This window comes from Homo sapiens, chromosome 2 (genome assembly GCF_000001405.40).
Source record: "Homo sapiens chromosome 2, GRCh38.p14 Primary Assembly".
Lineage (NCBI taxonomy): Eukaryota > Metazoa > Chordata > Mammalia > Primates > Hominidae > Homo > Homo sapiens.
The window spans coordinates 67,161,111-67,174,066 of NC_000002.12; the positions used below are offsets into that span (position 1 = coordinate 67,161,111).

Genomic DNA, 12,956 nt, shown 5'->3' on the forward strand with positions numbered 1-12,956 from the left:
TGCCCTTCTCCAGCTTCTATAAAATGCCATTTCCATTGTCCCTTCCAGTCGTACTGTTTTGTGATGTAGGAGTCACTAGTGGCAATAGATCATGTCTAGGGGAGGGGGTGAGGCTGGCGAGGCAGGGGGTGGGAATCAGGTCAGGTTCTCCTTATCTTCATGTCAAGCGGGCAGATAGGAAGTATGAGGAGAGAGGATATTTGCTGTGGCTGCCTATTTAGTATCTGCTTATTTAATCTCATTCTTGAGGCCTATGGTTAATGTCTGCTCTCCCATATCACCTCAGGTCACTAAGCACATGCCCTATAGTCAATGCACACTTACTGATGTGCCATCCTTTAAAACAGCATTGCGTTCACTCTCTCACTGTCTCCAATATGATGTATCTGTGGTCCACAGGGTAACAAGAAAGTCCTGACTAACATGAAGCCAGAAGAGAAGGTGTCTGCATTTAAACAGAGACTTGCAGTATCTCCCAGGAACACTTTGGTTGGAAAAGAAAATTTCCTTAGCTAAGTCAGGATAAATCAAAGCTTATCAGTCTGGCAAACTATGTTTTGGAAGAGCAAGACCACTTAGGTCAAGGTACAGTTCCTGTCAAGGTTTCGGAATCTTGTTCTAAGGTTGGAGATTGTGGCTATCCTTACAGCTTCATGGAGCAGTAGACATGTTGAGATAGGATTTGGTCAGCAAAATGGAGAATTAGCAAGTTTCAGAAAAGCTGCCCACCTGCCAGCAAGTCCAGCTTATCTCATAGTTGACAAATACAACCTAAGTTGATAGTAAAGATTAGCTGGTTTCATTTCATTTTACACAGGAAGAAACTTTGATTCAGAGAGGTTATTGCTAAAGAACAGATCTTTAATAAATAGATTAACTTTGATCTGTTATCCACATTTTTGATTGATATAATCTTTAATTCTTCTTTTCCATCTTAATAAGGACTTTAGAAACATTTGAGATCCTGTTAATTATAAACATGGAGCAATTTTCATCAAATATATAAAAGTTAAAAACATAATAGCATTTCTTGTGGCACATATACACCATGGAATACTATGCAGCAATAAAAAAAGGATGAGTTCATGTCCTTTGCAGGGACATGGATGAAGCTGGAAACCATCATTCTCAGCAAACTAACACAGGAACAGAAAACCAAACACTGCATATTCTCACTCATAAGTGGGAGTTGAACAATGAGAACACATGGACACAGCGAGGGGAACATCACACATTGGAGCCTGTCTGCAGATGGAGGGCCAGGGGAGGGATAACATTAGGAGAAATACCTAATGTAGATGATGGGTTGATGGGTGCAGCAAACCACCATGGCACATGTATACCTATGTAACAAACCTGCACATTCTGCACATGTATCCCAGAACTTAAAGTATAATTTTAAAAAATAGCATTTCTATAACTTCTTACTGAATAAATGAATAGAAGAATAAATGAGAAATAGATTACTTTTATGACTAACTACAAATTAATTATTAGCTGCACATTTTTAACATTTCTAAGTCATTTCCTATGCCCTAATTCTTATATGGCATCCCATCTCATTAAAATTTTATCCCCCATTATTAAATTCCAATGAAATACTCTGTCCAAGTGATTTAAATCACTTTATAACTTATAAAATGGAAATAAGGTATTATTTTTGCTGTTGCTCAAATAGACCACTTAGGTCCTAGATTAACTTAGATCATCATCATCTTTGGAGACACCTGGTATTGTTTTTATACTTAACCCATTACTATGGTATTCATTTAAAAAATGATAATGATAATCACATCCAATTAAGTCCCTTTTTCTCACCTCTAAGAGAATATAGGGTTTTTTTCCTTTAGAATTTTGATGTTGTACGATACTATAATACTCCACACTTTAATAAGGAATGAAAAAAAAGTAGAAGTGTTAATGATGGAACTTCAAAAGATATGGCTAAGTGTGGTTACCAAGTACACTGTTTATTCTGTTTGGATTTCAAAAAGAGCAAATCTACTATTGATTTTTTCTCACTTATGAAATGTAAACTACACTACCAAAGTTTTTCTCGAATATCGTTAAATAGCATAGTCTTAAAAACTATAAGGAAACTATTATTTGTGTTTTTTAAATTTTATTGTTGTTTGTTTCTTGTGAGCATATTTAAGTTGAAAGAAAAGTTTTCATCACTATCAGTTACCAAGATCTTTAGCCATTGCTGGCTTCTGGACACATTATACAATTAAGGGCCAATGCAGTTCCCTAATAGTTCTGATGTCATTGTCAAAAAAGTTCTAGAGAGTCAGTGGCGATAAATAAACTCTTGAAAGAAGAAACTCTTAAAAGAACACTCATGGGACAATAACTGAGTCAAACCATCCTGTAAGAACAGTTAACAAAAATGAAAACATTTTTATAAAGTTGGAAAATGCATTGTTTTATAGTAGGCATCTTGCTTACATAAAACAATTTAAAAAAAATAATTGATATATCTCATCTCATAATCTCAAAAGATAAACTATAAATAAAGGTTTGCTAATATATTTGAGGCTTGAAAATGACTCAAACTAATGTTTGAAAAACTTGTGCTTAAAATAGTGTAACATGTAATCTGTATAAGATAATAAAAATTTATAAACAGAATGAGTCTAGCCTCTGTAAATTAGCCCATGAGAAAAATTTTTCCCTCTAACTTCCAGAGTCAGTATCATGAGGACTTAGCCATCGTCCACAGAGTTGTTGATTATAGATCCCTGATGTAGAATACTCAGAAACTGAAATTTCTCAACTAATATTTAATTTTTTTTCTCTGCTTGATTCTTGATGTGCCTACCATTTTAGTGAACCATGGGTTCTCTCAGGCCACATTTCACATTTCCACCTAGACAAATTAGAGAAACATAATTTGGACAGATGGATATTATATACCACCGATCTCTTTTCAAAAGTAAATCCTCAAGTGACCATAAATTAACTATGCTATTATCTGGACAATTTCAAAGGCTCCTTCTTAGAACCCTGTAGTGGTATACAAATGTAAGAATTCATTTAAAAATTACATTAAGCCAGTGTTTTTCAAACATAAAAATGATATTTCAGTGATTCTTACAGTGTATAATTACTGCAAGCAATTGCTGTACTACTTTCATCTACTATACAAAAGAATGCATTCTAATTAACAATATCCAACAATTGAGCTACAAGGCTATCAATGCCAATTTGTGGCTGTTATGGACTGAATGTGTCAAAATTTATATGTTGAAGCCTGTTGCTCAATGTGATATTTGTAGGTGGAGCCTTTAGGCAGTGATTAGGTCATGAAAGTAGAAATGGGCTTAGTGCCCTTGTAAGAAGAAACAGGTAACAGGTAGTCTCTCTAGGCCATATGAGAATATTGTTAGAAGGTGGATGTCTACAAGCAAGGAAGAGGGCTCTCACCAGACACCAAATCTGCTGGCGCCTTGATCTTAAACTTCCCAGCTTCTGAAACTGTAAGAAATAAATGTTTATTGTTTAAGCCACCAAGTCATTGGTGTTTTTGTTACAGCAACCCAAACTAAGGCAGCAGCCTATATTTAAAAGCAAAAACATGCATTTTCGATATGTATCGTGTGACATGATTTTTGCTGTCTCAGATCATTTCATAGGACCAAAGTGATCTCTCTGTCTGTCCCTCTCCCTCTCTCCCTCTCTCAGGAATTTGTATAATGTGGTATTAGGTGACCAATGGAATAAAACAAAATGTTGTAGGCTTTTTCTTTAGATTCACTGAAAAAGTTCCTCTGATAAAGTAACTCACTTTGGACACTGTGCCAGGACCCCAGCCCACTTCTTTTACAAATGGCTTATAAACACCAATGGAAACGTAAAACTGCTGACATTGGCAGCACTTCCAGGAATTATCTTAATTAAGACTTGCAGTACCAAGAAGGGTTAATATTATTTGAAAGTAAAAGCTTTCATGCCAAGAGCAAGCCCACTCTGTGTGCACTGCTGGCTCAGCACTATAATTAAGAAAATTGCCTCTAGTGTGCTTGTTTGGTAATGCTGTTATCATCTTTTTTTCCCCTTTTAACAAGAGTAAACTACTTGGAGATGTCCCCATTTATTCTTCTTCCTTCCACTAACCCCTGATCTCACCAAGGCCATGCTAGGCTAGCATTTAAATGACTAAATGAGCTACTTTATCATCTGGTTCACCCTGAAGTCTTTTACATATTTTTCTTGACCTCTAACCCACAGACTATTATTTTGACAGCTATCATTAATGCTGTGTCCTGAGTAACCACACATTGACTATGATGGATGGTGAAAGAGCCGAGGAGTTGAAAGAAATGGACACCCACTTTCATCTTCCTCTTGATTAAATCGAAACCGTCCAAAGCTGTTGCACACAGAGCTTCCTGTGGCAGTGTTGGAACATATTAACTGAGATTTTAGTGGGATACCCCATTCAGAAAGAGAAAAAGAACCCAGCTATAAAACAAACCACATAAACTAAACATCAGAACTCTCTAAATTTGATAAATTATGACTATTCAAGTATGAAATTAGATGAATCAATATGTGGTTAGAATTTAAAAATTTCATAGTGTTCCTTTGAAGAGGAGCCTTGCTGGTAAGGTTAACAAAGAGAATTCCAGTGTCAAGAGACATAAGTTAAAATGACATAGTTACAAAGTCTTGTCATACATCTTTTAAGTGTAGGCTCCCATTTGAAAGGTCATGTTGACCTGCTGTGATCATTTACATGGAACACCATGGTCTGTGGTTCCTCTATAATTGTGAAGTCATTACCAGCTTTGGACCCACACAGTTTAAATGCCTCCCTCCTCCAGGAAGTGACTACAACTAAATTTGATGACTGAATTTACACTATAGGAAAGACACCTAGTGAACATGGCATTGATAGCATTCCAGAACCCGGTAAGCTTTGCAGTGATAGAGAAGTTGACCAGCATGTCGAATCTTGATAATGTACAAATATATAGCAACAGCAGAGCCCAGAGTGCTAAGAATAAAATTAATGGGGAAGGATGTATGGTATTGATAAGAAACTGTAGTTAAAACTGGGGTAATAACTTTTATTCAGAAATGTTGTCATGCCATAAAGCAAATCAAGAATAATTATCTTGGGTTTGGGAGACAGGATAGAAGAATAAAATACCATATTCCATATTCAGGAAATGAGTCCTTCTGAATAGAAAAAGTATGGGACCAACTGCTCCTAAATGTATTTCTTTTTCTAACATTGTTAAGATTCCATTAAGACTCCATTCTCTGGCTACTATTAAAGTCGAAAATAAGAGATGCTGGCAAGGTTGTGGAGAAAAAGGATATACACTGTTGGTGGGAGTGTAAATTAGTTCAGCCACTGTAGAAGACAATGTGGTGATTCCTCAAAGACCTAAAGACAGAAATACCATTCAACCCAACAATCCCATTACTGGGTATATATCCAAAGGAGTTTAAATCATCCAATTATGAAGACATATACATGCATATGTTCACTGCAGCACTATACTCAACAGCAAAGCCATGGAATCAACCTAAACGCCCATCAGTGATAGACTGGATAAAGAAAATGTGGTACATTTACACCATGGAGTACTATGCAGCCATGAAAAAGAATGAGATCATGTCCTTTGCAAGGACATGGATGGAGCTGGAGGCCATTATTCTTAGCAAACTAACACAGGTACAGAAAACCAAATACTACATATTCTCACTTATAAGTGGGACTAAATGACGAAAACACTTGAACACAGAAGGGAATAGCACACACTGAGGCTTATCAGAGGGTGGAGGGTGAGAGGAGGGAGAGGATCAGGAAAAATAGCTAATGGATACTAGGCTTAATACTTGGGTGACGAAATAATCTGTACCACAAACTCCCATGACACAAGTTTACCTATGTAGCAAACCTGGACTTGTACCTGTGAATTTAAAATAAAAATTAAAATAAAGACTCCATTCTCCATTGTTAACAATTAACACTGTCAATTGTAAATATTGCAATATAGATGTTTCCCAGTTCTTCTCCCCCTAATTCAAATGCAGACATGAAATGAAAATTTATCAGACATGAAATGAAAATTTATCTACAGATGATTGTAGAATCACTGTCAATGAAGTTCTTTCAAATTTTGTAGATAAGAATTCATCCATAATGGCCCAGTTATATTTCTTAAAATCTTGAAAAGTTGATGAAATCAGCTCTTGAAATAATATGTAATATAATCTATGCTTCTATTTACTGATTCTAAGGGGAGAATTATTAAGCATAAAAGTCTCAAGAATAACTCCTCCCTGATTTTGAGAGTCAATGATGATAATTCAGATGAGAGGCATTATTTTATTATAGCCACACATTTTTCTGTTCTTGACACTAGCCTCTCATATGTGTTAAATCTCTCAACCAGTAAAATTTTACACCAATGGACACTCTCCATATTCCAAATTCTAGATAGCTACTATAGTGTATCATTTTTAAAAATCTCTTCAAAGGGGCTGGGTGCAGTGGCTCACACCTGTAATTCCCAATGCTTTGGGAGGCCAAGACAGGAGGATCACCTGAGGCCAGGAGTTTGAGACTAGCCTGGACAACATATGGAGAAACCCAAATCTACAAAAAAATCATAAATTAGCTGGGTGTGCTGGCATGCACCTGTCATCCCAGCTACTTGGGAGGCTGAGGATGGAGGATCACTTGAGCCTGGGAGGTGGACACTGCAGTGAACCGTGAATGTGCCACTGCACTTCAGCATGGGTGACAAAGTGAGAGCTTGTCTCAAGAAGAAAAAAAAAAAAAAACCCTCTTCAGGGTTCCTGCTTTTATAAGAAGAAAAAAAGTGTTTTTGACTCCTCCTTGTTAGGTGAAAATGTGGAAAAATAAGTAAGCCTAGTTTATTTTCCAGAGGCTGCTAAGTTAAGTTCAAGCAACATACAAAAGTTCAACTTTTGGCTTTGTGTAACTACAATCCACTCACTGATTCTCTTCTAAACATTGACTCAAACAAGTAACATTTATTGAGCACTCAGATATGTTATCACTGTAGATGTAAGAGAAAAAACAAGCCCTTAGAAAAGACCACGAAGAAAAGGAAGTCTACTCATACATATATTTTGTGCACTTTAGAAGACCTTTCTCTAGGCTAATAAGAAGAAAAGATAAACTGACAAAAATATTGGAGTAAACTTTCAGCATATGAATCTCTTGGAAATAGTACAGGAAGACCAGGGAAAGCAAAGACTTAAACACAAGAAAAAAATTATTTTTTAAAAGAAAAGTAATATCCAGATTGAAATAACTCTCTTCAACTTTGCAGTTTCTTTCAAAATACTCAAATAGGATTTATGGAAAAATGTTTATAAGAACTAAGACTATTTTGCTGAAAAGCAGCATAATGATGATGTGTTTTTAAAAGCCAGACTAACTAAAACATTTTTAAACACTACAGAGGGCAAAAAAATAGATTTTGTCTCTATTTGTTTGCTAGGGCTGCATAAAGTACCACACACTGAGTGGCTTTAATGACATAAATTTATTTTTCGATAGTCTGCAGGCTGGAAGTATATCACTATGAGGTGGACATTATCAAGGTGTGAGCAGGGTTGGTTTCTTCTAAGCTCTCTCCCCTTGACTTGTAGCTGGCCATATTCCTCTGGTATCTTCACATGGTCTTCCCTCTGTGTGTATCTGTGTCGTCTTCACATGCTCTTTCCTCTGTGTGTATCTGTGTCTTAATCTCCTCTTTTTTTTTTTTTTTTTTTGGTTTTTTTGTTGTTGCTTATTTTTTTGAGACAGAGTCTCACTCTATCACCCACGCTGGACTGCAGTGGCATGATCTCGGCTCACTGCAACCTCACCTCCCGGGTTCAAGCAATTCTCCTGCCTCAGCTTCCCAAGTAGCTGGGATTACAGGTACCCACCACCATGCGCATCTAATTTTTGTATTTTTTGTAGAGACAGGGTTTTGCTGTGTTGGTCAGGCTGGTCTCAAACTCCTAACCTCAGGTGATCCACCCACCTTGGCCCAAAGTGCTAGGATTACAGGCGTGAGCCACCATGCCCAGCCCCTAATCTCCTCTTTTTATAAGGATACCAATCATATAGGATTAGGGCCTATATTAATGACTTCTTTTAACATTAATTACCTTCTTACAGATCCTATCTCTAAATACAGTCACATTCTGAGGCACCAAGAGTTAGGATTTCAACATGTGAATTTGGACAGGTGGCACAATTCAGCCCATAACAGGGTCTAAGCTGTGGCATGAGTTTTGGGGTTACAAGTGTTAGAAACATATTTAACTATTAAGTAAGAACAACTTCATAAGTACAGAGTGATTCAACTTTAAGACAATAAAAAGTCTGCTTTCAGTAACTTATTATTTTGTAATTTAACCTCTGTTCACTTTAATTCAAAACAATGTGCTTCCAATAAAAGAATCAGATTCCTTTTTACTCATCTTTCACGAAATGCTTCTGAGCACAATGGTAACCTGAGACTTTCATTGAAATTCTTGTCTTCTTCATCATCATCATCAAGCTAACATTTATGAAGCACTTCGTGTCAGATATTGTACTATGCACCTACGAGTACTGTCTTGCTTAATTCTTATGCTAATGTGATGAGTGGAGTACAATTACTCTTCCTTATCATAAATGAGAAAACTGAGATGGAGAGAGTTAAATTAGTTCATGAAGACATAAGACGGGTAAATGCTAGGGGTTAATTAGTGCTTGTTTATGTCTGAGTCTGGAATCTCACTTCTCGCACCTGATGTGATAGACCTAGAAAGGAAAACCTACATCAGCAATAAACTCTAGAGATACTGGTACACACAGCAGGAACTTCCGAGAATGTCTGTGATTCAGAGACCACATTGAAGTAAATCCTGTTCTGACCCCTTTGTGAAGGAGCTTGTGGCCCAGGAAAGATAAGGAAGAGCTCCAGGCAGAACATCCCCAATGTTTCCTGGAATAAGGAGAGCTGGAGGCAAAGGGTAGGACCAGCAGCAAGAGGGGAGTTTGCCATAAGGCTAACTCCCAGCCCACCTCACTCTCATCTCTGATGGCCAAAGGGTAAGCAAGAAAGAAAAGAATGCAAGAAAAAAGCTTTTTTTAAAAGAGGATGCAAACAAGAGGATGATATAGAAGACTAAACTTATAAAATACTAAAATCATTGTGTGTGGTTTAAAGTCCCCAAAGATTCTAAGTTGGCATTTAAAAAATAAAATCCAAATTTGGACATTTGGAAGTGAAAAAAAAAATGGTGCCAACCTAAATGCCCAAAAAAGGAAACTGCTTTTTTAGAAAGGATAGCATGTTCAATAGAACAAGCAGCCATTTACAGTTATGATCATAAAATTACTTATAAATATTGAAATTCTTCAAGGTAAAATTTTTCATGTGAAGTATTGGTTATAAAAGATTTTGATACTATAGGATACTGTTTGTAAATACAATGTGTGTGTGTATACATAGATATATAGATATAGATATAGATATGTACACATACCCTGAGAAGTACTGTTTCTTGGAATGGTATTGAGAGTAACCTTTGTTTTTATTTTAATGCTTTACTAATTTTCTATAAAAATACATATTTTATAATAAAAATAACATTATTTTCAAAAAAAGAAGAGGAGAAAATTTAAGTCAGTTTCCAGCAAAAAGGCATATTAAGAACTAGATGAAGAAACTTGCCCCAGAATAAGAGAAGCACACTACTGCGCTAAAAGGTTATGACTAGCTGTTCAAGGAAATGAAAATGAAGCAGGCAGAAGCCCAATGCTTCTGGGGCTCCAGAGAAAGCAGAGGAGGTTAATCCAGGCTGTTATGAACCTTAGTAAGTAAGTAGTGAGTCCTATTAATATGGTGCTTGAAAGTTTAGGGATTTATTCAGATCTCAGATAGACCTGATTGAAAAAGGCCTCTAATCTAAACCAAACACTCAACTCTTGGCAGGGCAAAATCAACTGGGGAGCTCTATAAAAATACTGATTCCCTTAACCTATCTCAGGCCATTAAATCAGATCATCTGGGGTGGAAACCAAGCAGTGTATTTTTTAAAGATATACAGGTGAATCTAACATGCGACCAGGATCAAGGACAGCAACTAATCTAACTCTGAACAATCATCTATTTAAATAAAGGGAGTACAAGTACTTTCATCCTTGACATCTTCTTGCTTGAGAATTGTCTACTGAGAATGTTAAATACATAAGTTTTAGTGTGAATTATTTCATGAGAAGAAATATTTACTTTCTTTTACTAGAAGCAGCATACTCCCATTCAATGCCATCATCAAACACTTACAGCCATAGGAGAACTAAGTGAAATGCAGGTGCCATTCAGAGGTGATTACAAGAAAGAAAGAAATAAACCTCAGAGGGAATTTCTTCCTGTTCTCACCCAGATTTGTGCCTTCTGTCCTCTCCAAGCTCCTACCAATCTATTGACTTGTGTCCTTGTGTGTCACATTCTCCCTCTTGGCCCTTGCTCATGCATGGAGTGTACCTTCTCTATCTTTTTACCATCAGCATCTGGCATACCGTAGGAGCTTAACAAAGGTTTGTTGATTGGATAAAAAGATGAAGTGCTAGGCATTATTTTTTCTCTTACATTCCTTTCAGTTCTAAGCCTCTATAATACTATGGTAATGCTTCCTGATATTCCAAATGTCCTCATTTTCCCTCTACACTTTAATATTGTTGCTTGGTAACAACCAACTTTCATTATAAAAGGTTGTAAGCAATTCTGGAATACCTTACAATATTGTCATCATATAGATAATGAGTTTTAAAGGTTACCAATAGCATTTAGCAGTGCACATAGTAAGCTATGTTGTTATTTATTTGCTTCAAAATCCCTTTGACTTAATGAGTATCAAGTTATTTACGCATGTCGAACTAGACTGGGGGTAAGAATAATTGGGGTAAACAAATTTAACATGTTTAGGTAGGTGACCTATAGACCTATGGTCCAGACTTCCTCAACTAAAGATAAAAATTCTGGAGCTATATGGCTTAGTTATAGACAAATACAATGTGTTCTGGGATGTGCCAACTGGGGAGTGAATTGGTTTACACTAGGGGTCAACTGTCAGAAACTTCAAGAGTGAGGAAGGACATGTTGTCCCAGAAAACATGTATAATCTTTATTTATATACACTATGCAGTGCTGATTTAATATACTGCATATTAGAAGGATCAGGCACTGTGACTTTTTTAACCCATAATAATTGTAATTAATAATTGCAAGGAAGAAGATGTGAAATAGATTTTAAAAGATTGGACTGCCTGCCCAAACAGGGTATTTTGGCACACAAAATATTTGTCAGAATATTTTATGCTTGTGCTATTGCAAATAATTCAGATTTTATTTGTTGAAGAGCTGTTATGAGAGTTAAAAAAATGAATATGAGTGTATTTCACATACTGATTCTTTTCCTTTAATCAATTCCTTTTTTCACTTTGGGGGTCTTGATGCAAACAGGTTAAACAGAGTTAAGATCTTAAAACTTAAAATCAAAACACAATACTATATAATCTTTGTTTTGGCTTCTCCACCAAGCAACTCAAATTATATTGTTAATGCCATTGCTGATATTGAATAACAGTAAAAACTTTATTACAGCTTGTATATCAATTGAGAGTAAAGACCCAATGTAGTCATATTTCAGAAGATGTTATCATTTGCATTAGTCTGTGTATCTGCCTTTCTCTAGTAATAGCAAGTTTCAAACATTCTTCATTAAAATCATTAATTTTTATTTGGTGATTTGCTATTATTTGTTGAAAGGTAATGAGGACCACTCACACTGTGGAACTGTCATATGTATTATTCTGTATTCAGAAAACTGCTTGCTGCATACTATGATGCTGGAGATTTCACTGCAAACATGTTAAAAGTCACTACAAAGATTTTTAAATGCTCCCTGTATACACAGTTGAATATATGTGTTTGAGTGAATATTTACTCCTGGAAATTAAGGGTAAAAGTTCACCAAGTAATTTCAGAAAGATTAACATACTTCAAATCAAGCAAATCTTGAGAAGCCAAATCAAGCAAAACTGAGACCCAATGAACAGAAAGGAATGGATTGTTGATACTTATACAATAGTTCAAATATATATTCTCCTTATATCTGAATATTACCTTTTGTACCTTCCCAATGCTAAAGTTCAGAAACCTTTTGTTAAAATAAAAATGTAACAAATCAGAAATGAAAAAAGAAGGCTTAATGTTTGAAGTTACTAACTTTTAGCTATGAGTGGAAAAAATAAACCAAATATATACATATATTTGGGACCTTACCTACATATTTATTGGGACCTTACTTGGGTTTTGAGACCTTCCTTAGACCAAGACTCTAAGAACCCAAACCTACGTGAAGAAAATTTGGTAATATTTTTATTTAGCTAGACTGTATTACATTTTCTTTTAACCACTAACTTGAGAACAAATTGGAAAGTGCATGGTTTTGGTTGTCACATACTATAAGTTGTTTTTTCCAATGTTTTATTAGGAAACATTTCAAAAATACAGAAAAGGTAAAATAATTTTACCATGAATACCCTAAATAAATAGCAGTGATTTTAAAAGATGTGAACTGGTCCATCTATATCTTTTATGAAATAAATGTCATTGGTATAAAAAGCTACATGTTCGCACACAAATTTAATTATACCTGGAAACTGGGCATACAGCTGACAAAAATGACAAGGAGTTTAAACTAAGAGAGGATGGAGAGCAACTTATTAGCAACATATAGTTTAACTATAAGCAGCTCTATATTATTGGTGGTAGAATGATTCAAATAAAATTTAAGATACCATTCAGCTGAAACCAGCCATCACTGAGGTATTGAAGAAAAGGAAACAATAACACTTTTAGATCTCATCAAATTGTGGTAAAATGTGTATAGGACAGTGCCAATTGATTTAGCTGCAAGTTACT

The 12,956-nt window shown here is 35.7% G+C and overlaps 2 long non-coding RNA genes across 2 annotated transcripts in view; one reads left to right on the forward strand and one right to left on the reverse strand.

Annotated features, from left to right (window-relative positions):
- The window catches only part of LINC01828 (long intergenic non-protein coding RNA 1828), a 202,799-nt gene that overhangs the window by 74,665 nt on the left and 115,178 nt on the right, over positions 1–12,956 (forward strand). The window lies entirely within an intron of this gene.
- LINC01829 (long intergenic non-protein coding RNA 1829) overlaps positions 1–12,956 on the reverse strand; it is a 91,963-nt gene that overhangs the window by 37,754 nt on the left and 41,253 nt on the right. The window contains exon 4 of the long non-coding RNA NR_038844.1: positions 3,427–3,477. This is a non-coding gene — a long non-coding RNA (long intergenic non-protein coding RNA 1829). The remainder of the gene's footprint in view (positions 1–3,426; positions 3,478–12,956) is intronic.